This window comes from Homo sapiens, chromosome 21, assembly GCF_000001405.40.
Source record: "Homo sapiens chromosome 21, GRCh38.p14 Primary Assembly".
In the NCBI taxonomy this organism is placed as follows: Eukaryota; Metazoa; Chordata; class Mammalia; order Primates; family Hominidae; genus Homo; species Homo sapiens.
Window position 1 is genome coordinate 38,799,921 of NC_000021.9, and position 26,141 is coordinate 38,826,061.

General features: G+C 45.8%; 1 protein-coding gene across 4 annotated transcripts, besides 15 other annotated features; it reads left to right on the forward strand.

Moving 5' to 3' along the window:
• Positions 4,808 to 5,308: an enhancer, noted in NCBI's record as "H3K4me1 hESC enhancer chr21:40176652-40177152 (GRCh37/hg19 assembly coordinates)". NCBI's record gives its function as "activates a minimal SCP1, AML or CMV promoter by ChIP-STARR-seq in naive H9 embryonic stem cells {active_cell/tissue: H9 hESC(naive)}" and the evidence as "EXISTENCE:reporter gene assay evidence [ECO:0000049][PMID:30033119]".
• Positions 4,808 to 5,391: a biological region, named in NCBI's record as "H3K4me1 hESC enhancer GRCh37_chr21:40176652-40177152".
• Positions 4,842 to 4,981: an enhancer, noted in NCBI's record as "active region_18460". NCBI's record gives its function as "activates an Ori minimal core promoter by ATAC-STARR-seq in GM12878 lymphoblastoid cells {active_cell/tissue: GM12878}" and the evidence as "EXISTENCE:reporter gene assay evidence [ECO:0000049][PMID:35858748]".
• Positions 5,162 to 5,221: an enhancer, noted in NCBI's record as "active region_18461". NCBI's record gives its function as "activates an Ori minimal core promoter by ATAC-STARR-seq in GM12878 lymphoblastoid cells {active_cell/tissue: GM12878}" and the evidence as "EXISTENCE:reporter gene assay evidence [ECO:0000049][PMID:35858748]".
• Positions 5,232 to 5,391: an enhancer, noted in NCBI's record as "active region_18462". NCBI's record gives its function as "activates an Ori minimal core promoter by ATAC-STARR-seq in GM12878 lymphoblastoid cells {active_cell/tissue: GM12878}" and the evidence as "EXISTENCE:reporter gene assay evidence [ECO:0000049][PMID:35858748]".
• ETS2 (ETS proto-oncogene 2, transcription factor) lies at positions 5,263 to 25,035 on the forward strand. 4 transcript variants are annotated; one of them, NM_001256295.2, is made up of 11 exons: positions 5,263 to 5,696; positions 6,051 to 6,200; positions 10,115 to 10,186; positions 13,083 to 13,194; positions 14,353 to 14,472; positions 14,861 to 15,061; positions 17,088 to 17,171; positions 18,505 to 18,726; positions 19,583 to 19,846; positions 21,666 to 21,784; positions 22,754 to 25,035. In NM_001256295.2, the coding sequence occupies exons 1-11, from the start codon at positions 5,427 to 5,429 to the stop codon at positions 22,967 to 22,969; spliced, it is 1,830 nt and encodes a 609-aa protein (NP_001243224.1). In that variant the 5' UTR covers positions 5,263 to 5,426; the 3' UTR covers positions 22,970 to 25,035. The 4 variants fall into 4 exon arrangements, with proteins under 4 accessions (NP_001243224.1, XP_005260992.1, NP_005230.1 ...); XM_005260935.2 differs by lacking the exon at positions 5,263 to 5,696 and having other exon boundaries at positions 6,009 to 6,888; NM_005239.6 differs by lacking the exon at positions 5,263 to 5,696 and having other exon boundaries at positions 6,009 to 6,200.
• Positions 5,502 to 5,831: a silencer, noted in NCBI's record as "silent region_13312". NCBI's record gives its function as "represses an Ori minimal core promoter by ATAC-STARR-seq in GM12878 lymphoblastoid cells {active_cell/tissue: GM12878}" and the evidence as "EXISTENCE:reporter gene assay evidence [ECO:0000049][PMID:35858748]".
• Positions 5,852 to 5,921: a silencer, noted in NCBI's record as "silent region_13313". NCBI's record gives its function as "represses an Ori minimal core promoter by ATAC-STARR-seq in GM12878 lymphoblastoid cells {active_cell/tissue: GM12878}" and the evidence as "EXISTENCE:reporter gene assay evidence [ECO:0000049][PMID:35858748]".
• Positions 6,112 to 6,401: a silencer, noted in NCBI's record as "silent region_13314". NCBI's record gives its function as "represses an Ori minimal core promoter by ATAC-STARR-seq in GM12878 lymphoblastoid cells {active_cell/tissue: GM12878}" and the evidence as "EXISTENCE:reporter gene assay evidence [ECO:0000049][PMID:35858748]".
• Positions 6,512 to 6,611: a silencer, noted in NCBI's record as "silent region_13315". NCBI's record gives its function as "represses an Ori minimal core promoter by ATAC-STARR-seq in GM12878 lymphoblastoid cells {active_cell/tissue: GM12878}" and the evidence as "EXISTENCE:reporter gene assay evidence [ECO:0000049][PMID:35858748]".
• Positions 6,632 to 6,731: a silencer, noted in NCBI's record as "silent region_13316". NCBI's record gives its function as "represses an Ori minimal core promoter by ATAC-STARR-seq in GM12878 lymphoblastoid cells {active_cell/tissue: GM12878}" and the evidence as "EXISTENCE:reporter gene assay evidence [ECO:0000049][PMID:35858748]".
• Positions 10,993 to 12,192: an enhancer, noted in NCBI's record as "P300/CBP strongly-dependent group 1 enhancer chr21:40182837-40184036 (GRCh37/hg19 assembly coordinates)". NCBI's record gives its function as "activates an origin of replication core promoter dependent on BRD2, BRD4, P300/CBP, MED14 and CDK7 cofactors, with strong dependence on P300/CBP, by STARR-seq in HCT116 cells {active_cell/tissue: HCT116}" and the evidence as "EXISTENCE:reporter gene assay evidence [ECO:0000049][PMID:35650434]".
• Positions 13,924 to 14,710: an enhancer, noted in NCBI's record as "OCT4-NANOG-H3K27ac-H3K4me1 hESC enhancer chr21:40185768-40186554 (GRCh37/hg19 assembly coordinates)". NCBI's record gives its function as "activates a minimal SCP1, AML or CMV promoter by ChIP-STARR-seq in naive H9 embryonic stem cells {active_cell/tissue: H9 hESC(naive)}" and the evidence as "EXISTENCE:reporter gene assay evidence [ECO:0000049][PMID:30033119]".
• Positions 13,924 to 15,306: a biological region, named in NCBI's record as "CDK7 strongly-dependent group 2 enhancer GRCh37_chr21:40185951-40187150".
• Positions 14,107 to 15,306: an enhancer, noted in NCBI's record as "CDK7 strongly-dependent group 2 enhancer chr21:40185951-40187150 (GRCh37/hg19 assembly coordinates)". NCBI's record gives its function as "activates an origin of replication core promoter dependent on BRD2, BRD4, P300/CBP, MED14 and CDK7 cofactors, with strong dependence on CDK7, by STARR-seq in HCT116 cells {active_cell/tissue: HCT116}" and the evidence as "EXISTENCE:reporter gene assay evidence [ECO:0000049][PMID:35650434]".
• Positions 22,481 to 23,018: an enhancer, noted in NCBI's record as "H3K4me1 hESC enhancer chr21:40194325-40194862 (GRCh37/hg19 assembly coordinates)". NCBI's record gives its function as "activates a minimal SCP1, AML or CMV promoter by ChIP-STARR-seq in naive H9 embryonic stem cells {active_cell/tissue: H9 hESC(naive)}" and the evidence as "EXISTENCE:reporter gene assay evidence [ECO:0000049][PMID:30033119]".
• Positions 25,036 to 26,141: the final 1,106 nt, after the last annotated feature.

Below are 26,141 nucleotides of genomic sequence, written 5' to 3' on the forward strand. Positions count from 1 at the left end.
TCAGCCTCCCAAAGTGCTAGGATCAATGGTGTGAGCCCAAAGGTGTGAGCCCAAAGGTGTAAGCCACCGTGCCTGGTCCTTACCTATGAATATTCTAAAAACCGTTGGATTGTATAGTCTAAATGGGTTGCTATGGTCTGAATGCATGTGTCCCCTCAAAATTCCTATGTTGAAACCTAACCCCCGAGGTGATGGTGTTGAGGTGGGACCTTTAGGAGATAACAGATCATGATGGTGGGGTCCTCATGAATGGGATTCGTGCCCTTATGAATCAGGCCTGAGGAGCCCTTTATCCCTTCTGCCATGTGAGGACACAGCAAGAAACAGAGAGCCTCACCAGACACTGAATCTGCTGGTGCCTTGATCTTGGACCTCCCAGCCTCCCAAACTATGAGAAACAAATTTCTGTTGTTTACAAATTCCCCAGTCAAATGTATTTTGTCATAGCAGGAGAAGTGGACTAAGACATGGATCAATTTTATGGTGAGTTATACGTCAGTAAAGGTGTTTCTATAGGTGTCTGTCACACACATATGCATACATAGATGCACAAACACACAAATACAATGCTCTTTTGTGACTTCTAAAAAAGTTTAATCACAAATGGAAGTATTTACACTCAGCCAGGAGAATCTGTAAACATGCCCTTTCAATTCCATTGTCAAACAAGAAAGAATGGTTTCAAGGCACTGAGACAGAGTGAGTACGACATGGAAACCCAACCCTACCTTGGGAGCAGGGGCTGACAACCCACCACTAGGATGTACCCTGTGTATCTGTAGTGCTGGCTCCCTGCACACAGGGCAAGGTCCCGTCCAGGACCATCTGCAGAATTTGCAAGGCCCAGTGCAAAATGAAAATGGGCCTCTTATGCAAAACTTATTACAAATTTCAAGATGGTGACCACAAAGAATTAAGCCAAGTGTTTCTTTACGCTTTTAAGAGGTATTTCCTTGCTAGAACTGGGGCAACTCCCATGGCGTTCAGTGAGAATCTTCCAGAAGATGAGGGCTGGTGTCCTATGCCTTAAGAGCTAAGAGTGGAGGTGCTGGCCCTCCTCTGGTTCTTCAACCTGCACCAAAGGGGCATGTCCCAGGTGGTGACCACTGGAATTTAGAGGTAAAGGCAGCATTTGCCTGGAGCAGAGAACACGAGGTGAGGCGGGATGACTCTACACCACAGCCATAGATAAGAGGTACTAATAGCTCAGTCGGTCTGAAAGAGACACACTTAAAGTCATAAATGGGAAGACGTGGGTGGAAAGTCTTGCAGCAATTGGAAAGCCATTCCACCAAAGACGTGTTATAACTTAAAAATATTCCAACTTCTGAATGATTTCTTTATACACCTGCTTAAGTCGGTGACATTATTCAGCCTTAACACTTTAATCCAAGTTTTATTTTGTCACCAAAATGTGAGTTAAGCTAACTTAATCATTTGCTAGACTGACTGGCACAGGAATGACTAACTCTTGGTTTGTGTGAAGACTAGTGGTTCAGTTTTCTAGTTAGCAAAATACATAAGCCGATGCACTGAGGATTATTCAGTTCCATGCATACTGTTGGAATCATTTTGTGATTCAGACAAAAACACACAACTATAAAATCATATATCTGTACACGTCTGACTCAGTTCAGACACATTTATTTAGGGATTATCAGTTTTACAGAATACAACGGGTCGCTATTACTATTTTGGTTGTTCAGACTTGCCTAAAGCACGTCACTGTGCAGTTTGATATCATGGTGGATTTTCAAGCGGTTTATACCCTCCCAGAGTACTGCCTTATAAGGGAAAATGACTGTGTCAGGGTGGCAGTGTGCTGGACGAGGGGGCAGGAGGCCTGGAGTGTGGCCCCAGCTTTGCCAGGAAATAGGCATTTGACCCTGGGCAAGGAATTGATCCTCCCTGGGTCTCAGTTTCTGCATCTTACAAACCAGAGTTGGTCTGAGCCATCAGCTCTCTGAAGTTTTTTCCAGTTTTAAAATCCAATGTTTCATTTTCTCGTTTCTGACCACCAAAGGCAAGAAAAACATAGTCAAAGACACCATGGTTCCCATTGACAGCACTGGGATTGATTTTATACCTTGTTGTCAACCAAAAGTGCCAGTGCAGGGCAGCAGTGATCAGCGATGCCCGCAGGAGACCAAGACTTCCAGGGCCAGGGGACCTGCTACTTATTTATCACACACTTAATGACACGCCAGACACTGTTCTAAGTGCTTGGGAGACATTAACAGAGGGAGGCCCCGAGGGGCCCACAGGTGGCCTGCTAGGGAATGGCTGGGCGGGATTTGACCCCAGGCAGTCTGGGCCCACAGGCTGCCCTTCAGAGGTGAAGACGGTAGCCCTAGCTGGGTAACCATGTCTTCATGCCCACAGGGAGTGCAAGGGACAAAGGAGGCTGACAAGGAGCAGAAGGAATTAGAAAGGAGCATTAGCAACGTTTTTGACCACCAGCAGAATACCCTATCTGCCATTCCAAGGAATCTCACAGAAAAGACTAGACACTGGCCAACTCTTGCATAATCTGGGTCCACCCTGATGGAGCAGGAGGCAGCTCCACGGCCCCACATCTGCCTAGGATTCTTGGTAGCTGGGCCAGCCTGCAAATGGGCAAGGTTGGTTGGATTCGGAGGTGGGCGGAAGTGTGGGTTAAGCTTATCAAGTCCTTGACCCCAACATATATCAGTGAAATAGCCACCACTGCCAGACACCCCAGCAGGCCAGATGCAGGCGGCAGCTTACACATGAGGAAATGATTTCTATCTCTAGGTTCATTCTTTTCTTCCTCCACTCCTTACCAAAGTCTCACTGTGCATGTGATTTTAACTGAACTGTGCACTTCACTTTTACTTCTTGAGGGCGGGAACTAACTAAGCCTTAATCATATTTGTCTTCTCAGCATCTGACTCTGTGTTTGCTAAGTGAATGAATGATGCACTTCGGACCAAATGACGTCTGTTTAACTTGCAACTGGAAACCACCACAAACTGCCTGTTGACTACTGATTTGGATTTTAAGGTAAATACAGACATGTTTCTAAGGAGACGTTTTTGTGTGTGTTTTTTTTCAAAGGATGACTTCGTAAGCTAGCTAATCATTTCTCATAATTATGTCTGGATTCTAAAGAATTCTTTTTCTGCATTTTACTCTCTAGATATTTCATGTTCGTAACACATATATTCTACTGTAATATCCCTTTTCCTCCTCTCTTCTGTGAATGTCCCTCTTTCTTAAGGGGAAAGTGTTAACATTGCTCATAACTCAGTCTGCCATAGCGCATCTGATCACTCCACCCTGTGCACCTTCTGACTTTTAATTTCCTTCCAACACCCTCGACTTTTGATCTCCAAGCACAAGGGCTATACTTTTATTTATTAGGTTTAATTTACTGTAAAGCTCATTGTTCCCTGTGAATCGCACGATAACAGTCAATGAATAATCACTGGCTTCAGCCAGACTGCTTTTTAATTCTGCTGAGTAACTGGCAAGCCAACTAGTATTAAGGACAAAAATGTAAGGAACCCTGATATTGCCCCAGAACTAGGATAAGCCATTTTATTATGAACATGTGACTGCCCTCGTGCAGAGGTGGATCAGCTACAGGGCAGGACCCAGGGCAAGGGGGCTGCTTGGGGCAGCCTCAGACTCTTTGGAAGGGGAAATAGGGAGGACCAGGGACCTGGGTGGGAGGCAGGAGCTTAGGCTTACGATGACCCCAGCACACAGGCCCAGCTTCCTCTTCCCACAGCCTCCCTGCCGTCTTAGCTCTGCCATTTGGTCTTCCGGCCGGGATCCCTTTCCCAAGGCTTTCACACATTTAAACCCGCGAGGGGCAGGACTTTTTTTTTTTTTTTCGTGTATATGATAGTTTTTTCAAAATGTTTTCTATAAAATCCTCCCTGAGGAGAGCTTGGAAAAAGATTCTTAATAGCTAGATCATTTTGAGTCCTTCTCTACCATGTACTCAACACTCTAACATATTCTGCACATTTGGTTCTATGTCATTTGCCATAGTCTTAAGGACGTAGGTTCCATAATCATCCCTTATTCTGTAGAGGAGGCCCAAGGTTAGTGAGCAGAGGAAGGTTCCACTGTCGGGAACCGGTGGTCTTCAAACTCCTGTGCTCCTCTTTTGATATCTTTCTGCTCATATATGTTGGAAACAGCCCAGCATGAGCAAAGCACCACCTCCTAGCCCCCAGCCTGTGCCAGCCCTGCAAAGAGGAAATATGGCTCCACTCAGGGAGCCCATCAGCGACTCAGGGAGCCCTGGAGCACCTGGCACTCAGCACCCATGAACACGAGGGCAGGCATGGTGGGACAAGGCAGTCTGCTTGGGGCAAGTGAGCTTCGGGAAGTAGCTGAGCTTTGGGGAGCAGCTGTCTATACCCAGCTTCTCAGGGCTGTGCAAGTAGCCTGAGGGAGAAAGACCCTATATTAGCTGAAACTGCAGCCCAGATGAGTCAGTATTTTCTGCTACGGTTTTTTAAAAAAATAGTAACATACTCATGTCTCCATGGTAACTTACTATGGATCTGTATTCCATTTATGGAACTCTTTCTTGACCTATCTGTGTTCTCTAATCTGGGCCTGAATATACACTGAGAAGCCATCAGAATCAATTCAGTCTCCAAGAAATAATCACTTCCCCTATACGTGATTGTTTCAGCCGTATAGATTCTGACTGTGACTCATGCCACGGTGATACCCGGAGACCTTCGGGGACCCAGAAACATTAAGGTGCACCGATATCTCAATTATCCGGATAACTCTAGACCTAGAGTCACCATGGAAACCTAGAACCCTGAGTCACAGAGAAGCTGGGCCATTCCTCTCCCTTCCCGGTGGTGCCGCAGTTCTTGAGATGTGAGCAGCTTTCAGCCCCGTGGCCTCGCCTAAGCTGGGGTTTCCTATTTCATCCACAACTTCAGGAATCTAAACTTTCCTGCAAAATATTGAGCATGTGACCTGAGTCCAAACAGCCATGGACTCAAGCACCTTCTGATAAAAACGGAAACCACAGTGTAGGGGGTGGTTTTGACCAGGGTTTCGGAGTCAGATAAACTCAGGTTTCCACCTTGAATTTCTCATCAATCTGACGTGGCAGGTTATTCATCCTAAGGTTCAGTTCCCACCTGTGTAAAGTGGGAGCCGCAAGTCCTCCGAGAGTGACGATGATGTGCGTGGAGTGCCCAGCCCAGATTGAAGCGCGGCCAAGGCGGGTCGCTATCTGGGCACCGCTCAGCTCCAGAGGGCGCCACTCCCGCGGAGCCTGCGGGATCGGGGCTTCCCGGGAGCAGCGCGATCAGCACCACGACTCGGGGACACAGCCAGGGCCCGGTTTCTACAGGAAGCGCCTCATTTGGAGCCTTTTTGTGATAGAATGATCATTAGTCCTAAGCCCATTCAGAGGTTCAAGAATGGGGTCGGCTCAATTTCAGGGCCTTATTACCCAAGCCCGGCTGCCCTTCGGTGCCACCAGCACCACTGCTCCGTCGCTGCGGAATTCCAAAGGCAGGTTTGGCGTTAGGGCCTTGGCCCCAGAGAGGACGCCGAGCGCTCCACGGAAAGTCTCCGCCCGGCTCCCAGGGCGCACACTCGCGCGCACGTGGGGCCGAGGCCCTGCTCCCGGGGCCTCAGGGCCAGCCGGCGAGGGACCCAGCCGAGTGACAGCAGGAGGCGGAGGGAAGGTTGGGCCGGAAGGTGTCAGCCCCGCCCCGCGCTCCCTCGCCGCCTCCGCCCTCCTCTTCTCTCCCCTCGTGCGTTCCCTCTCCTCTCCCTCCGCTCCCCCAACCCTCCTGCTGCCCCCTTCCCTCTCCTCCCGCTTCTCCCCATCCTGCCTACCTCCCTTCCCCTCCTCTTCTCTCTCCTCCCCTTCCCTCCCCTCTCTCTTCTCTCCTCCCTCGTTTCCTCCCCTCCCCTCCACTCGGCCGTCCCTCCTTCCTCCTCCCTCCTCCCTCCTCCTCCCGCTCCTGAAGAGCGCGCCGCGTGGGGGACGGCCCGGTTACTTCCTCCAGAGACTGACGAGTGCGGTGTCGCTCCAGCTCAGAGCTCCCGGAGCCGCCCGGCCAGCGTCCGGCCTCCCTGATCGTCTCTGGCCGGCGCCCTCGCCCTCGCCCGGCGCGCACCGAGCAGCCGCGGGCGCCGAGCAGCCACCGTCCCGACCAAGCGCCGGCCCTGCCCGCAGCGGCAGGGTAAGAGCTGGGCCCGCAGAGAGCGCCCGGCGCGCGGCTCCAGTCCCATGGAGGGTCACCCGGGGCCTGGGCGGGGGTCGCGGGGGGCACTGACACGCAGATCTCGGGGCGCTGCCGGGGGTGCAGGTGGGGGTGGCGGCTGCTGCGAGGACTCTAGGGGCGCGCGTCTGAGTTCCGCGCCGGCTCGTTTTCCGGTTATGGAGTGGCCTCCGGGGCTGGCGGGGTCGGCCGGGGGGTTCCTGCGTGCTAGGGCCGCTGTCTTCGGGGTCGCCTAGCGGCGGGCGCGGCCAGGGCGCGCTGGCTTGTTTCGCTCGCTTTTGTTTTTAAAAGGAAACGCAGGCCTGGTAGGGGGTCCTGCCCAGTGGATGTCCCGGCGAACATGATTTCGCGAACGGGAGTGGGGGCACAGGAGAGCGTGTCCGAGGTGGCCTGGCGCCCCGGCTTTGAGGGTGACTTCCTGGAGCGGCGCCGGGCCCGGAGGATCTGGGGCGCCCAAGACACCTGAAGGCTGCGGCACCGCGGGAACCTGCGGGGCGCGGGGTGCCATGGTCACCTGCTCGCCGCGTCCAGGGCCCGGGCTGGGGACCCCTCGGTCGTGCGAGGAGAGCGTGGGGAACCTGTCGGAAATGAGATCTGGTTGCGCTGGGCTGCCTTTATTTTCTCGTTCCTACAGCATTTGAATGAAGAGGTAACTGAGTGTTTGCTTGTGTGTGTTTGGGTTGCGTGTGTGTTATCCTATTTTATTTTTTACGGCAGGAGACCTTTTATGTTAGCCTGTACACAATTTCAGGGTAGCCTAAAACAGTAGTTGACGCGCTAGTTATTTAGAAAGTAAAGAAATGAGCAGTCCCCTTTGGAGACAGGAGTAATTTATTTTAATTCGCCAGTAAGAGATTATATTTGTTCCATACAATGGAAGCGCCTGTGCGTTATCTGCCTGCCCACACCACCACCAATCAGAGAGATAAATCTCCACGTTAAGCTTTATTAAAATTCTGAGTAGTAGCGCAGCACAGTAAATGTTAGCACCGACCATCCGCAGGGAAATGCTCAGATACTCATTTCTGGGATTAGTCATTCATCTCTCTAAACTGATCGCTTTCAAAGCGAAAAAAGCAAACTACCTTCAAATGTGTGTTACAAGGTTGTGTTGTTTCTTTTTTTTGTTTGTTTTCAAATTTATCTAAATAATCTTACATAAGTGATTACTTGTTCCAATAAGGGTACTGTTGTCAGGCAAATTCTCCTTGTTTTTAAATGTAACCATTCTCAGCTGTTACATTTCTGCTCTTTATCCTTTTTTTTTTTTTTTTTTGGTTTAAAAGCAGCGATCCATCAGCAACACCAAACTTGAAATTGATTTATGTGGAAAAACTTGGCTTGTCTGCCATCTAACAAGCCCTGTTGAGTAAAATAAGCAAGCTTAAATTTGATTAGTTGTGTGTCTGCCTGAAACCATTTAGTAGAGCACTTTAATTCTGCATGGTTTTTACAAAACTCATTAAAAGCTGGACAACAAAAGAATTCTATTCTGTAGCTAGTAATTACAGCTCTTTATGTGGGAGTGGTAGGCTGCCTTTTCTCCTGGTATTTGTACACAAAAGCTGGGGAGAGCTTTTCCACTGCCTTCCACATTCATTCTCTGTCCATCTCAGAGAAGCTGAAAAACAGAATCAAGTCAGCAAGCAGTCTGCAAGCCTAAGGAAGAAAAAGAGCTGACCCATCCGGCTCTGGATGGATAACTGGCAACACCCAAGATGTCTATGATTTTGGCCTTCTGTTTGAGGCTTGTTTATTTCTTTAATCAGCAGCTACCAGGACTTATTTCATGCAGAGAAATGACATAAAGCTCTAGAGGAAGGAGCATTTCACATTGGAAGGAGTAGTGAGAAGGGCCTGATCTGATAATATCAGGATGGGTGGGAAGGGTCCATTCCTCATCATTCATGTTCTCCCGGCACAGAGGACTGTGTGGAGGACTCAGGATTTAGGACCATACTCAACTGGGGTTTGATCTCCACTTTGCCCTGCGGTGGCCCCTCTGGTAGCTATGTGGATCCTGGGCAGATTGTCCATGTTGCTGGGCCTCCGTTGCTTCACTGTATGACGTCTGCCTCTCAGGGATGCAGGAAGATTCAATTAGGTAGGAGTGGATGGTCCCCCAGCACGGGGCTTAGCTCTTAGTAACTAGGCATTCTGGCAATGGCAGCCATCAATAGGAGAGACTATTGATTGTTGAGTGAATATAAGTGGCATAATCCACCAAGTGGAGATTCTGAGTGAATGTGGCCACTTTGGACCCAAGACTGCTGCCCCTCTCTGTCCTCTCATAGGACTATTATTTATTGCCAGTGCTGACCAGCCTTTGTTGGCTACCATGATCATTACCTGCACTCCGAGTGTTTTAACAGAATTTTCTGATGCCTCTGGCCTCACCTGCTGCCTTTTAGCCAAGAGGGGTGTGTGTGTATGTGTGTGTGTGTGTGTGTGTGTGTGTTGGGTGTGTGTTGGGTAGCAGGGTTCTTGGAAGGTCTGGTTTAGCCATAATGTTGATCATAAAGAGAAAACAAGAAAATAAATGCAAATTAAATAGTTCGGTGAGCCTTTGTTATTTCGCCACATCCAGTAAGTTCTATCAGTTGAATGTTGTCTGAATTACTTAAAAAGTTCTCAGTTGTAAACAGGTAAGAGCACCCAGTGGAGGCCATGGAGCTAGGCTTAGAGCTTTGCCACCAGCCTTCAGTTCCATAGCCATGAACCTGGGAGGGCAAGGAATCACCCTAGAGGTGAAGGCCATTCATCGGTGCTAACCCAAGGTCTCTGAAAATGAGTTTTAGTTACTCTATTATCTAAGTATCTTTCTTACTGATATGTAACTTACCTGGCTGAACAATTACATTTTAGAGCTCCAAATAAATTTTCAGCCTATTATGTCATTGTCCAATTACAAGCCTCATTGTAATAGCCATGTTAAAAACAATAAAGCCGGTGAAATTGATTTCAGTGTATTTCAAATTAACCTAATATATTCGAAATATTATGTATGTATAAAAATTATTGAGCTTTTTTCTTTTTTCCACTAAGTCTTTGAGAGCTAGTGTGTATGTGTGGATTTGTACTAGCCACTGGTTGAGAGCTCTGTAGCCACACATGGCAAGTGGGTACCATATTGCTTAGCCCAGGCCTAGTAGAAGATTAAGACTCAGTCAGAGGAAGTAAGGCAGATCCGTGCTTGGAATCAGTTCCTCTTGAAGAAGTGCACAGCCAAGCAACACACAAAGCAGAAATATTTTGAGCTCTGTATTCAAAGCAGGAAGATCTGGGACCATGTAAGGGGGTTTGGTCTTCAGTTCTCCCTTTGATCCCTTCCCTGGGTGTGTGCTTTCTTACAGCCTGGAGAGTGGAAGGGAAGAGAGGGGGCTTCCTGGACTCCTTTCCTGTCTCTAGAAATGACCCCTGCAGCTGTCCTGAAGCTCTCAGGTTAAGCTGATTGTGTCCAGAGCAGACAGGAGGCGGCCCACTGCCCCACTGTACCCACCCAAGCACTCACCTAAGCTGGCCATGGAAATGTGAATGAAAAGCCTGACCCAGGCCCTCTTGCCCTGCTAACCCAGCAAGGAGGCTCTGACCAGCCAGCCAGCAAGTGACTTTTTCTGTGACATCTAAGTGGAATTCAGTGAGGAATCAGCATTATTATTCAATCACTGAAACAGCATATCCCATTGTGATACTGAGAAATGCTTTCCTCTTGAGACCTTTGGGAGGACAGCCATTTAAACAAGAATTCCCTGCATTCACTTTTGAATTACCTGTTAGCTGTAGAACTCAGCCAGGATCAAGTCTTGATGCCACCAATGATGAGTTTAGTGTACTTAATCTTTTGCCTCTTTGACTTTTTTTTTTTCTTTTTTAAGATGAATGATTTCGGAATCAAGAATATGGACCAGGTAGCCCCTGTGGCTAACAGTTACAGAGGGACACTCAAGGTGAGTGGGCAAGTCTTAATTTTTTTTTTTAATTGGAAAACTCGATCTCTAGGAGGAAAGAAAAAAAAGGCCTGGGTCCCAGAAAACTGGTTGTAGCCCTAGCTTCTTAATTTATTGGCCATGTGACTATAGACTATTTGCTTACTTGCTCTGGTCCTCAGTTTTCTGGTCTGCAGAATGGGTATCTTGATGTGTGTTGTTCTTCTCCTCCACGATATGAAACCAAAGGCCTTTATAGCTTGTTTTCTGAGGCTCCTTCCAGGTGAAAATCCTATAACTCCCAATAAAACAGCTGGAGAGGCTGTCTCTACTGCCTTTTCTGTCTACCCAGGAGTTTCCTTGGTTGATGGGAAGCTGTTTAAGAACTGAAATGAGAGAGAAGAGGCAGACAGACCCAACCGCTACAGCTCCTATCAGAAAGGGCAGCGCCCGTGGAATTGTAGGTAGCCTGTTACTGGCTCAGAGAACAAGCAGGCCTACTTATGTTAAACCAAAAACCAGATGAAAAATGAAAGCGCCCTCTCTGCTGCATAAACATTTTATGTAGCTTCTATCATCATTCCTTTTGGGAACATTCTTTAGTAGCACAAACTGGTAATCTCCCACTTGTCTTCTCCAAATATGACAGCAAGATTTGATTGTTTTCAGTATTATGTAGTAAACATGTTTCAGAAGCATGATTTTAAAATTGGCCTCCTCAAAGTTTAGCGTCTTGCATAATGATGATGTACGTCTCTGGCATATTACATTTTCCTTTGTATATCATTATTGAGGTTATTTGTCTGATATGACCCAAAGAGGCAAAACTCAGCACAGTCCTTTCTGCAGTATTCTAAAGGTCATCAAACTTCAGCCTAGTGAGTCTGCTTGTTTGATTTGGCCGGACATTTTAAGCATGGCAGAAGTGGTACAAGAAATCATGGTATTAAGTTGAAACCACACCCCTTAGAAAAATCCTTCTATTAATTCAAATAATTTGACGATGCTTATGCGGTTTCTGAAAAGAAGCAGTCGTTGCTGAAATTGATGTGTTGAAATAGGAAGCACAGATTTGTATTGTCTTTTGGCTTCCTGGCTTTAAAAAAAAAAAAAAAGAATTTACGGTTAGGAAAGGCATTTCTTAGTCACCTGGGCAATGCTTGTGGGAACTTTAAAAGTTTATTGGAGGTTTCACCAAAATTAGCTCTGCTCTAAAGTAGTTTGTAAATCCAGATGAGTAATTTGCACTTGCCTGATTGATCGGTTTTCCTCGTAGATCTCAGGCAGTTGGTCATCATTGACTTGGATTTTTTTGGGCTGGGCTCCAGCCTCTGCCTGCCCTCTTTTGTAATGCGTCATTCATTGTTCTGCATTTCTAAAAAGAAAGCGGGTAACCGATTTTATTTGTAAATGTGTTACACATTTTCTTATTGATGACTCAACAGATGGGTCATTGTATTACACATAACATGGGATTTCCAGCTTATGTTGGAAAAATATAGTCTTTCTTCACGTGTTCCTCAACAATTTAGGCGATGATGAATCCAGATATTATCGGTTACTTTCAAATGAGTCTTACATTAAAAGGTATTTCTTTCATAAATGTTATGTAAGATGCTCAGAAATCGAGTTAGTGTAAGGTTTTATCTTTCTGTGTGTCTCTTCTTTTCTGCAGATAGTTTAGTTTAACTTTAAACCTATTTCCTTTGGAAATCTTTCCCCTTAGTAGGTGATTTGGGTTTTTTTTGTTTTGTTTTATTTGTTTTTTCGTTTTTGGTTTTAAGCAACAGGGTCCTTCTCTGTTGCCCAGGCGGGAGTACAGTGGCTTGATCGTAGTTCACCGCAGACTTGAACTCCTGGGCTCAAGTGATCCTCTGGCCTCAACCTCATAAAGCACTGGGGTTACAGGCATAAGCCACCCCGCCTGGCCTGGGGGCGGGGAGGGGGTTCATTTTTAAGACACTTTACTTGTTATAAAATGAAACGTTAAGGAATTTTGTCATGTATTACTATTTTCCAAACCATTGGAATTGATGTGGAAAAGCATCTCTAGTTTCAGTTAAATTGTTTCATGGCAAACATTTCAAAATAAATGCTTCCAAAGATAAAGTAGTGTATTTCATTGTTTGATTTTTCAGTGTTTATCGGGTCATTTGCCTTTTAACTGCATTGTGCTCAGACGGCCTTGTCAAGGGTCATTTTTCTTACACACACAGCCTAGTTGAATTTTTCTCAATGTAACAGGAGGGTCAGGTGTTTGGTAAAGGGGTCTCTGAGGCTCCTCTCGACACCATTGTAAGATTCTGTTATTTTCAGATTTGTGTATTTAATATATTAACTTAAGTGGATTAGGCCACTAAAACAAATTCCCAGTCACTCCGACTCTGTGAGGTTACTTAAATAAATCCACAGTGGCCGGGCACCGTGGCTCACGCCTGTAATCCCAGCACTTTGGGAGGCCAAGGCGGGTGGATTACACGAGGTCAGGAGTTTGAGACCAGCCTGGCCAACATGGTGAAACCCTGTCTGTACTAAAAATGCAAAAATTATCCAGGCGTGGTGGTGGGCGCCTGTAGTCCCAGCTACTCGGGAGGCTGAGGCAGGAGAATCGCTTGAACCCAGGAGGGGGAGGTTGCAGTGAGCCAAGATTGCACCACTGCACTCTGGCCTGTGTGACAGAGTAAGACCTGTCTCAAAATAATAATAATAATAATCCACAGTAAAATACAATCATTTCAGTCACTTTGACCATTTTACGAGTCTGTTTTAAGGACTGACTGGTTGATTCCATGTTTGCTTCAAAATTGCCAGTTTAATCAGGGACTATTGGTAGGATTGCCCACAGACCACTTTTACAACAGGTAATTCAATCAGTTTAAATATTGTATTTCCATTTTTTTTCCATCTGTTTTTGCAGCGCCAGCCAGCCTTTGACACCTTTGATGGGTCCCTGTTTGCTGTTTTTCCTTCTCTAAATGAAGAGCAAACACTGCAAGAAGTGCCAACAGGCTTGGATTCCATTTCTCATGGTAATTGGTTCCTCAGACTTGACAAATTGTGCATGATTTTCCTAAGTAGTTCAGTTAATAAAGAGATGACAGTTCCTAAGTGAGAAATGTTGGTATCTGGAATCTTTGATATGAATAGCCAGAAGTTCTGGACCTGGGAGAAGGCAGTTTTTCATTTGTATCAACTTGGTGATTCTGATGTGGATTCTGATGTCTTGAGTGCCAGACGCCCCCCAGTGAGCCGCTGTTAGGAAACTGCAGGGGAACCCCTGAGCTGCCCCTCCTGGATGTTTTCAACATTGGCAAGCAGGTCCTCATCTCCCTGCTCTGCCCTGGAAAACAGACAGAAGAGTAGACATTAAAACACACCCAAACTTGTAATTTGGGTTTGCATCATTAGTTAAATCATCTCCCCTGCCCTGAGTTTTGGGGCAACAAATTGTTCTTTGTAATCCTTACCCATCGGTAGTTCTTTCTGTAGTTCTTCGTGTCATTGTTTATTCTTCTTAAAGGAATAGCACGTCAGATAATGTTCATACAATTACTGTGACAGAGCTATTAGTTGGAAACATGCCAGAGATGACTGTGTCATGTGAAGTAGGTGCTGAGAATACAGGCCAGAAAATTAATTAAAACGCATACACTGGCGTAAGCATAACCCTGCATGGCAGCCATTTATCATTCTTGAAATTGCTGAGGGTGTCTGGAGAAGATTGTTTTTCAATAAAAATGGAAGGTGTGGTTCCATTACCGTGCTAAGTGCGGCACATTCATATCACACTCACTTCTCAGCTCTACGCCTAGTTTAATGGAAGTGACTTCCAAATGATACAGTCCCTTCAGCCTTTTGACCAGAAACCATGCAACTGTTTTCATTGCCTACAATTTTAAAATAGACTTAGCAGTTTTCCCTACGCACAACTGCTTTGTGACGCTTTGCAAAATAGAATCAAATCTGAGTTTTATTTTAGATTTTTTTAATAAGTATAGTTCTGAGATATATATTTTCTCAATTATAGTCAGAAAAGTTTTTTGTTAATAGTTACACTGTTTTAAGGAATCATGCCAAGGTTTGAGATCAAAATTGTTCTTTTCCAAAAACTAAGATGTCTCTCCTAAATCTCCACCTGATATCACCAACTTGAAGTCCTAATGTCCCCATGGGGGGTTTCCTTCCAGACTCCGCCAACTGTGAATTGCCTTTGTTAACCCCGTGCAGCAAGGCTGTGATGAGTCAAGCCTTAAAAGCTACCTTCAGTGGCTTCAAAAAGGAACAGCGGCGCCTGGGCATTCCAAAGAGTAAGTACTGCTTTCCTGAGCCTGCACTGGGTGAGAAGAACCAACTTCAGTGCAGTTGTTTGATCTTGACTTGTTTATTAAGCTTTTGCTTGGGGTATTCTGCAAAGAGTAGCATGGATGTCGTTAACCTGAGCCAGTTTCTGTTTCACCCCAATCAACCCAAGACTTGATCCAGAACTCATTAAATATGTAGTAGAAGGACGCATTACTGGTGTCTTGAAATGTGCCTGGGTCGTGTCAGAATGGTGACGTGTCATCATGGTATCTTGCTCATTCGTGGGTTCTGGTGTATGTCGGTACTTGGTGCATAAATTAGGGATGACAGTGGTCTCACTACCTTTCCACTGTTTTTACCTCATGTGTTCCATTTTTTCTTCTCTCCTGGTAGACCCCTGGCTGTGGAGTGAGCAACAGGTATGCCAGTGGCTTCTCTGGGCCACCAATGAGTTCAGTCTGGTGAACGTGAATCTGCAGAGGTTCGGCATGAATGGCCAGATGCTGTGTAACCTTGGCAAGGAACGCTTTCTGGAGCTGGCACCTGACTTTGTGGGTGACATTCTCTGGGAACATCTGGAGCAAATGATCAAAGGTACCAGCTGAACGTCTTACTTCTCCTTGTCCAGGATGAGCTGTGGCCGGGAAGACTGATTGGGAAAGTCACGTGGGTGTTCTTCAACCTTAGGGTTGCCACTTGAAATGACATAGAGTACCTTGCCTCAAAATGCCACTCAAGTGAGTCAGATATATGGCAGTGATTATAGATTTTTATCCCACTTTATGTGAGTGTGTGTGTGTGTGTGTGTGTGTGTGTATAGCATCAAGTATAGCCACAAGGTAGTAGCCTTAGTCACTAAATTGTTTGCTATTGCTGGCTGTATTCATCACGGGAGTCCATGTTGACTCAGATATGTAGGACAGCAAGAATTCCCACGTCTTCTGAGCTCACCTTACAGAGCTAAGAGATATGGCAGCCTTAATGAAAGGGGGGAGCCTTTACTCACATAAACCCTGTGAATTCTACTGTAAATTTTCCTACATCCAAATGGAATGTATTTTGGATGTTGAGGATTGTTGAGGGGGCGGGGTCTGTTTTTAAACAAGTGAGAAATTGATATATATTTACACGCTATCATATTGTACAGAAACTGGCCATTGATCAGTAGAAATCTCACCAAATACAGAGAAAGTCTTGATTCAAAACTTAAAATAGCAGGGAGACCAATGTTTAAAACATGTTGAGTTAAAAAAGAAAAGAGGGCCAGGTGCGGTGGCTCACACCTGTAATCCCAGCACTTTGGGAGGCGGAGGCGGGCAGATTACTTGAGGTTAGGAGTTCAAGACCAGCCTAGCCAATATGGTGAAACCCTGTCTCTACTAAAAATACAAAAAATAAAAATATTAGCTGGGCATAGTGGCACATGCCTGTAATCCCAGATACTCGGAAGCCTGAGGCAGGAGAATCCCTTGAGCCCGGGAGGCAGAGGTTGCAGTGAGTCGAGATCACACCACTGCACTCCAGCCTGTGGGAGTGAGACTCTGTTGAAAGGAAGGAAGGAAGGAAGGAAGGAAGGAAGGAAGGAAGGAAGGAAGGAAGGAAGGAAGGAAGGAAGGAAGGAAGGAGGGAGGGAGGGAAGGAAGGAAGGAAAGAAAGAGGGAGGGAGGGAGGGGAGGGAGGGAGGGAGGGAGGGAGGGGAGGGAGGGAGGGAGGGAGGGAGGGAAAGAAATAAAATACAGTAGGGATTATTTAGGTTAAAAAAATATAAGAAAATAAGCATGTTTATAGAATTCAGGGAACTAGTCCTCACCTGACTGATTTTAAACACACTGAATTTCAGCATCAACTGTAGACTCAGAATCTCGAAAACACCTAGGATTCAACAGCTAACTTTTTTTAGTTACGGCGTCTGAGGGCCAGGGAAACTCATTTTTAAAGACCCTCATTTCTTCTGAACTTGGACAGGGCTTTTCTACCAAGTTTCTGGTGATCTGTTTATTGGCAAATTGGGCCTGTTTTACCATTCCTCGGGCCTGTGAGTTTGTGTGTATTTGGGTTTCCGGGTGGACGTGCACTTTGTAATATATTCGTAGTAAGTATGCATACACAGTGCACAAACCTTTTCCCTTTCAAAGTTCTTGGGCACATGTGTTCCCCATCCCAGACTCCCACAGCCCTGGAGACTTCCCACACCCTGGGGAAGCGTGCAGGTTTGGAAGCAGTGGAACTGTAAGCTTCACGGGGGCAGACACCATCCATTTTATTAATTTCCTGTATGCAGCCTCTGGTACAGATGGCATTTCATAAATACTTAACTGTTTCTTGAATGCATGAATGAATTCAATACACCATCTGGACCTTTTGCGATAGAAAATTTAGTGTTGCCAATGACATCATTCATTTTGGAAAATTTATTTTAGTAATTGGAAAAATGGGTTGCTTTCTCTCGTTTTTTGAAAAAGACAGGCAGGGACGTGGAGCACCATGAGATTAAATGTGAAGCACTCCGTGCATCTCATCATTCTAAAATTATCATCTCACAGGAATTCAGAAAGTCAATTTGTTCTGTGTAGTTTTCACCTACATCTGCCATCTTACGTCTCCTGTGTCTGCTTTTCAGAAAACCAAGAAAAGACAGAAGATCAATATGAAGAAAATTCACACCTCACCTCCGTTCCTCATTGGATTAACAGCAATACATTAGGTCAGTCCGATTGATTCTGCCCTTAAGAACTTTGTCTTCAGTCTTCCCAGTAGACTTGGAATCTCTCTACTGTAGGCTCCTAAGGGGCCACCTAGACCTGTGTGTCTCTTATGGTGGCCACACGTGGGTGTTGAGCTATAAGCCATTGAAATGTGACTGGTCCACATCGAGATGTGTAGGAAGAGTATAGTCATGCACACCAGATTTGGAAGTCTTAGTATGAAACAGAGAATATAAAATGTCTCCCTGATAATTTTTAATGTATTGATTACATATTGAAATGATAATTGCTATATGAGGCCAAGTAAAATAAGAAAATTAACTTCACCTGTTTCTTTTTGCTTTTTTAATATGGCCACTAGAACTTTCGCAGTTGCTTAAGTGGCTCACACGATCTTCCATAGGTCAGCACTGTTAGTGCTAGTCCAGGCAATTCTTAGAGCAAGGAGCAGAACGAAGTGAGCTGATTACCGCAGTCACCAGTAATGTTGGTTTAGTGTAGCAAACAAGAGGCGGCAGGCACAGAGTGCGTGAAAAGCAATTTGTAAACTGGCTCTGAACTTGGGAGCTTAAAGAGCTGTCATGGAATCTGGGTCCTTTCTTCTGGTTGCTGATACTGGGGAGGGCACAGGGTCTGGCCAGGCCAGCGAGGGAGGGGTCCTCGGAACAGCAGGCTTGGGTGGTGTTGGTCCGGCCCAGTGTTTTCTCTCTGGCCCCAGCTCCACCATTCAGACCCGGTGAAGCCCACCTCTCTGCCCCACTGGGGGCTTCCTGCTCAGGAGGTCTTTCTGAACATGACAGTGGGACACCCTGTGCCTGCCTGAACCTGAATCAGAGTCAGAGAGCTTCCTTCCCTCTCCAGAAAATAAATTATTCTGCAATGAACAGAGACAGGAGCGGTGTGATGAAGGAGCAGAAAGCAGAGTGGGCTGTGCCTCAGCACACAGGGTTCATGGCCTGGTTCTGCCCTTATGAATCACACAGTACATGACACGTCACTTGGTCTGTCTGAGCCTTACTCTCCTCGGAAGCTAAAAGAGCCAGTGAGCCCTGTCTTCCTGAAGGTCCCATGAAAGCACTAGGGTTGTAGAAATAGGAACATTGAGTCCTGCCTGCAGAGGCTGCAGTCATTTTGGCAGAGGGCTGCTGGTTGAGAAGCTGAATGGTTTGAGAAGAAGGCCTGGTGACAGACCCCCACCAAAGCCCGGGTCTCCACTGAGGTTCTGCAGAGGGCTGGAGTGTGCGGAGTGCTCACCTGTCATTTGCTCGTAGGGGTTAGTTACTGGGGTAACACTGACTTTAAGAGCTCTGCCGTCCGATTGTTCTGTTCCAGGTTTTGGCACAGAGCAGGCGCCCTATGGAATGCAGACACAGAATTACCCCAAAGGCGGCCTCCTGGACAGCATGTGTCCGGCCTCCACACCCAGCGTACTCAGCTCTGAGCAGGAGTTTCAGATGTTCCCCAAGTCTCGGCTCAGCTCCGTCAGCGTCACCTACTGCTCTGTCAGTCAGGACTTCCCAGGCAGCAACTTGAATTTGCTCACCAACAATTCTGGTAAGATTGGAAGCATCTTTCAACAAGGCTGTTGCTTTGATTCTGAGAACCCCAGAGCCATAATGAACCTCTTAATAAATACTTCCTGGATTCAGCCATTAGAGAAGGGGGTCAAAGCCCATGTTCTAAGTGGATTTCCAACAAGCATACCCCTAATATGTTTCAGGCACTGGCCCAGGTACTGCAGGCATTGAGTAAACAAAACAGTCCCTGCTCTTACAGCCAGATTTCTCCACACTTTGGGATATTTATGGAGGCGATGCAGGAATGTGACATTTCTTCTTATGGAGATGTAACATAAATACAGTGCACAAGTCTCAGGTCATGTGGCTGGTTGGATTTGTGTATGTATGTATACCCATGTAATAACCATCCAGATGGAGATAGAGAAGTTTCCAGTAGCCTGGAAGATTCCTTCGTACCCCTTCCCATCAATAATGTCCCCCCGACAGAAGGGAACGATTCTGACTTTTATCATTACGGATTAGGTTTTGATTTTCTTGAACTTTACATAGATGGAATCATAAGGCATGTTTTCTTTTGTGTTTGTCTTTTACTCATCATGTCTGGGATTCATGCATGTTGTTGGATGTAGCAGCCATGTGTTCTTTTTCATCGCTGTATAGTATTCCATTATAAGAATTTTATTCATTCTACTGTTGATGGAAGATAGGATTTGTGTAGTATAGTTACCCTAAGGAATAAGCACCTGAGTAGAGAGCATTTTGAGAAGTCTGAGTGGTTCTACACCAGCAGGTGCATGATTGCACTGGTAGTGGTTGGTGATGCTATGGTCGTGCCCAAGACCAACTGTGTCCTGGAGGAATCAAAGTATGTGTTTGGTTGTCTTTGCCAGGGACTCCCAAAGACCACGACTCCCCTGAGAACGGTGCGGACAGCTTCGAGAGCTCAGACTCCCTCCTCCAGTCCTGGAACAGCCAGTCGTCCTTGCTGGATGTGCAACGGGTTCCTTCCTTCGAGAGCTTCGAAGATGACTGCAGCCAGTCTCTCTGCCTCAATAAGCCAACCATGTCTTTCAAGGATTACATCCAAGAGAGGAGTGACCCAGTGGAGCAAGGCAAACCAGTTATACCTGCAGCTGTGCTGGCCGGCTTCACAGGTGTGTGTGGAACTCCGAGAGCCTGGCCGCCCAGTCTCCTGGGTCCTGTCCCTTGCTTCCTTTCGAGCCACAGTACCACATTCACCGAGGGTGTTTCTAAGCTAGGTACACCAGTGCTCTACACTCCATGTTTTATGCGTGGCTTGCTGTATCTCTGAATTCGACAAAAGCCACACTTGGAGGAATTTTCATGTACACAGAGCTCCATGGAATGAGTGAAAATTGACAGGCCACTCCCTCCACCTGGGACGTTCTGAGGAATAGTTGGAGCAGGGGACATGGCCTGTGCAGTCTTCAGCCCTGACTCACCCACTCCAAGAATCTCAAAGAATGTAAACTGGCTTAGGGAGGGGCAGCAGAGCCAGTCTCAAATAATATGGGCACTGTTTACCTTTTCTTGCTTCTAAAATCTATCTGCTCTTATTTTTGAGGTTTGGGTGAGAGCTATTCTAGGCAGTGGACAAATATAAAGCTGTTTTTAGAAACAGGTATTTCCAGTACTTTAGCGAAAATACTGGGGCTTTGTTTTCACTGCTTCGTGTATCCTTAAATGCGTTTTTGTTTTTGTTTTTTTAACCATATGGAGCCACTGTGGATTGAAATTACCTAACTTAAAAAAATCTGATAAGTTTAAAATAAGGATACTGAGGCATTCATTCTTTTTCTGTCATCTAAGAACAATCAGCCACGTAAACGTATTAAAATACACGGAAAGAGTGTGTGAAAGCCATTATCGGTTTCATTATTGGGAGTTTAGGGCCTGAGAAGAATAAACAGCCATAACGTTAGTGTGGTTCATTTTAATAGTAACATAAGTTTCTGTTTATTGACTGCCAACTCTGTAGTTAAGTAGGCATACAGTCTGTAGGACAGCCTGGCATGGGGGTGGTATGAGGCCATTTTACAGATGGGGAAATTGGCTCACAGGCAGACAGCTATCGGTGCTCACACAGCTCTGGTTCTAGAATGCCTGTCCCGTGCTTTACAGCAAAGCTTTATTGATAACGGCCATTGCGTTTCTGAGGAAGAGCTATTTGGTAGAAAGAGGTTGGGCTTAGGGTCGGAAGATCTAGGCTCTTCTCCTGTTTGCTGTGATGGGCGTGTGATCCAGGACAAGGCACCTGGCCTCTGAGCCGCATCTTATCCCTCCTCTTTAGAACAGAACCACACTGACACCTGCTTTGCAAGGTGGTAGTTCTAAATGTCAATCGAGGACAGGTGGACGAGAAGCTCTTGGCAAAGCATGCTTCACCAGACAGAGGCTGTGAGGCAACGGGTGTGACCCCGCGTGGCTATTGAGTAAACCGGGCTCACATTAAGCAATTTACACATGGTCATTTGGCAGGAAGGTGGCATGGGATCCCACGTATGACACGCCTCATTCTGTGATGAAACACCCCCTCAGCCACCCCCATCTCTGCCCCACTGGGTGTTTCTAGAAAAAAACCTTGAAGGTTTTTACATAAGGAACAATTAAACCAGATGGGGAATTTTAATGCCAAGAGTTGGTGGCCCTAAACTTTCTTCCAGAAAGAACAAACCTAGCAATCAAGGGGAAGAGTGTCTCGCCTAGTGACCTTATTTTCTAGGAGTAGGCAGTGTGGAGCAGGAACTCACATTTGGTGCCCCGCCCCATCCCGTTAAAGCACTTAGTACTGTCACCAACACCTTGAGTGCCACCCTGAGTGTAACATCGGAACCCCATTCAGAGAGTTGGGTCTGCATTCCTAAATCAGCATGTACAATTAGGATGGTTAAAGACTTGCTGTATTTTACATCTGTGAAAGGGTATGATCCGTCTCCCTCCCTCTCCCCGCAGGAAGTGGACCTATTCAGCTGTGGCAGTTTCTCCTGGAGCTGCTATCAGACAAATCCTGCCAGTCATTCATCAGCTGGACTGGAGACGGATGGGAGTTTAAGCTCGCCGACCCCGATGAGGTATGGCCAGAGCCCTGGGAAATCTCTGGGCTTGAAAACCTGATTTCCTGCTTGCATTCAAAAACTCAGTTCTTTGGGCACAAAAAAGGGTTCACCAGTACTGCTGAGAATCTTTCCACGTGAGGCATCCTTGGCTGTTGGGAAAATGGAAGTGGAGTCATTGCTTTGTTGATAAACGTGTACAGTGTTTTCTGGGTATGCTTCATACAAGGGCGTTGCACAGATTTCACTGTCTTGATCAGTTGTCTGATCAAGAGGCCCAAGCTGCAAACTGAGGTTCTCTGCTGACCATCTGAAAATGCCTTAGGAAGGCTGCCCTTGTCCATCGGGGGAACAAGCCTCATGTGGCCCCGAGCCAGCCTTCTGTCCACTCCTTAGCTGAGCCCAGCAGTGTTGACCCCAGCCCTGCAGAGTTAGAACCAGGAGCCCTGTCTAAAGGAGAAGGCCAAGGGCAGGTGGGATACCAACCCCGCCAGAAAAGCGTTAGAGAGAAGCCCTTGGTCTCTGGCACTGGGGAGCGTAATCTGTCACCATTCCCACCCCGCCTCCAGTTCCCTTGGGAGACAAGCATTGAGGAATGAGTATATCACACAGCTCAGAATCCCACTCGGCACCTGTTAACTTCAGTAGTTGGAATATCCAGCCTGGAGGGTGGGTGACACCACCTTTCCCTGGTCTCAGGACCCTCCTGGCTCTGAACCCTTGGCTCCCAGGAGGTTTCACTGAGCTGGGGCCAGGGAGCAGGGACCTCATTCCCCAGTGGTTCTGCCCCTTGGGGACACAGTGCCCCTACCATAGGTACTCAAAGGTACTCAGAGGTACTCAAAAGGTCCTCCTGCGGACCTTGTGTAGGTGTCAAGTTCTCTCTAGAGTGAACATGCCTCAGAATCATAATCAGGGAGGAATGTCATTCACTTTTTCTTCATTGACAAATTGAGTTTAACTCTTTTCCATCCATGTTCACCAAAGGTGGCCCGCCGGTGGGGAAAGAGGAAAAATAAGCCCAAGATGAACTACGAGAAGCTGAGCCGGGGCTTACGCTACTATTACGACAAGAACATCATCCACAAGACGTCGGGGAAGCGCTACGTGTACCGCTTCGTGTGCGACCTCCAGAACTTGCTGGGGTTCACGCCCGAGGAACTGCACGCCATCCTGGGCGTCCAGCCCGACACGGAGGACTGAGGTCGCCGGGACCACCCTGAGCCGGCCCCAGGCTCGTGGACTGAGTGGGAAGCCCATCCTGACCAGCTGCTCCGAGGACCCAGGAAAGGCAGGATTGAAAATGTCCAGGAAAGTGGCCAAGAAGCAGTGGCCTTATTGCATCCCAAACCACGCCTCTTGACCAGGCTGCCTCCCTTGTGGCAGCAACGGCACAGCTAATTCTACTCACAGTGCTTTTAAGTGAAAATGGTCGAGAAAGAGGCACCAGGAAGCCGTCCTGGCGCCTGGCAGTCCGTGGGACGGGATGGTTCTGGCTGTTTGAGATTCTCAAAGGAGCGAGCATGTCGTGGACACACACAGACTATTTTTAGATTTTCTTTTGCCTTTTGCAACCAGGAACAGCAAATGCAAAAACTCTTTGAGAGGGTAGGAGGGTGGGAAGGAAACAACCATGTCATTTCAGAAGTTAGTTTGTATATATTATTATAATCTTATAATTGTTCTCAGAATCCCTTAACAGTTGTATTTAACAGAAATTGTATATTGTAATTTAAAATAATTATATAACTGTATTTGAAATAAGAATTCAGACATCTGAGGTTTTATTTCATTTTTCAATAGCACATATGGAATTTTGCAAAGATTTAATCTGCCAAGGGCCGACTAAGAGAAGTTGTAAAGTATGTATTATTTACATTTAATAGACTTACAGGGATAAGGCCTGTGGGGGGTAATCCCTGCTTTTTGTGTTTTTTTGTTTGTTTGTTTGTTTGTTTTTGGGGGGTTTTCTTGCCTTGGTTGTCTGGCAAGGACTTTGTACATTTGGGAGTTTTTATGAGAAACTTAAATGTTATTATCTGGGCTTATATCTGGCCTCTGCTTTCTCCTTTAATTGTAAAGTAAAAGCTATAAAGCAGTATTTTTCTTGACAAATGGCATATGTTTTCCACTTCTTTGCATGCGTTTAAGTCAGTTTATACACAAAATGGATTTTATTTTTTAGTTTAACTGTGTTTCTCCGACAGCTCACCTCTCTCTGACCACCCAGCCATTTCCTTCCTGTGCTCCACGTTCTTCTGTGTGATTAAAATAAGAATATTATTTTTGGAAATATGCAACTCCTTTTCAGAGATCAGGAGGGATTTATGTAGCAGCTATTTTTACTGCAAAAGTAATTCACTGGAAAAAAAATGTAATTTGTAAGAAAGCTTTATTTTTATCTCAGCTCTATGTAAAGTTAAAGTTACTGTACAGAGCTGAAGGACGGGGGGCGGTAGGGGTCTTGATGAAACCTCTTGAACGAAGCACAGTTTGTCCCATCTTTGTTCACTCGTGTGTCTCAACCATCTTAATAGCATGCTGCTCCTTTTTGCTCAGTGTCCACAGCAAGATGACGTGATTCTTATTTTCTTGGACACAGACTATTCTGAGGCACAGAGCGGGGACTTAAGATGGGAAAGAGAAAGCATCGGAGCCATTCATTCGGAGAAAACGTTTTGATCAAAATGGAGACTTTTGTAGTCGTTTCAAAAGAGCACCTGAGTCATGTGTATTCCCGGCCTTTATAAATGACCCGGTCAAGTTGGTTTCAAAGTCCGACAGGCTTGTCTGTTTACTAGCTGCGTGGCCTTGGACGGGTGGCTGACATCTGTAAAGAATCCTCCTGTGATGAAACTGAGGAATCGGGTGGCCGGGCAAGCTGGGAAGAGCAAAGCCAGAGCTGCGCTGCCTCAATACCCACAAAAGACCATTCCCAGTATACATAAGCACAGGATGTTTTTCTCAAGAGGGATGTATTTATCACTTGGACATCTGTTTATAATATAAACAGACATGTGACTGGGAACATCTTGCTGCCAAAAGAATCCTAGGCAGTGGCTCATTGTATGTGAGGTTGAACCACGTGAAATTGCCAATATTAGGCTGGCTTTTATCTACAAAGAAGGAGTTTCATGGGGTTCAGCCTAACAGTTATGGAAACTACAGTCCTTATAAACCATTGGCATGGTAATAAACAGATCTTAAGTATAAAAATTTTGTAATTGGGCCTTTACTCTCTCAATAATAAAGTATTTTGTTTATATAAATTCTTTGTGATAGTCCTCGTTCTTCCTCTCCACACCCAGCATGAAGGAGTTGGAGGAAGGATGTTAACCCCAGATCCATTCTCTACTCAAAACATTCCATCATCAAGCGGCAAGTCTCTGTTTAACTGGTTTATACACAAGTCACTTAGAAACCACAACCCAAATTGGAATCAACTTTGAGCCCTTCCTAAAAGAATTCCCAAAAAGTGCTCTCTTTCAAAACAAAAAATTCTTTTAAGAAAGTGTTATAATAGAAAGATTCAAATGTCTTTCTTTGCCAGAAGCTTGGCAGAGATAACAGAGGAGAGATTCTGGAATGTTTATATTAAGTACATTAGAATTTGAGGTTTAAGTACTTTTGGAACTGAGGCCACAACACTCTGTCCCCTCAGTGGAGTCTGACATTGGTAAGGTGATGGTGGTCTTAGGACACCTGTTTTCAAATTTGTTCTCTTTACATGCTCCAAAATTAGTGAGTATGCCAAAAAGCTTATATTCATTGGTGCGCTAGAGCCAGCTCACTGTGTTCTCCCGAGAGCTACATGTCCCTTCCCATCATCGCATCAGTAATGGTAGCTTGAGATGGGGCGTGATGAGAGTATTTACACCATGGGAATCAGCAGACACTACAAATCAGGGCCTTCTCTCCCCCAGAGTGCTGATTGTTAAACATTTACCAACACTCTACTGGTTATATCTATCAATAATTTCCATATTAGAAATTAAAGTAAATTTTAAAAGAATTCATTTAAAAATAATTTTACTTATTGGCATTAACAGCATTTTTTTCTTGCAAAAAGTAATTATTTTTTAAAAAGTTAGCATGGCATTGTTTCACATTTGCAAATCTCTTTAATGTCTGGTTTAGTATTAGAGCTGGATTCTTCTGTTTCTGCATTCAATCTGTTTGCATATATTTTGATAGAGTATGTGAAGAAAATCCGGCCTAACAGATATGTAACAGAAACAAGGAGGAGCATTTAAGACTATTTCAGATAATTGTAGATATTCTTTCTTTACTATGCCAAAACTTAACAAAGTATAATTCCTTAGTTGCAATTCAGGTATGAAACCATATTAATAAACTTTCCTAAGGTTACATTAAA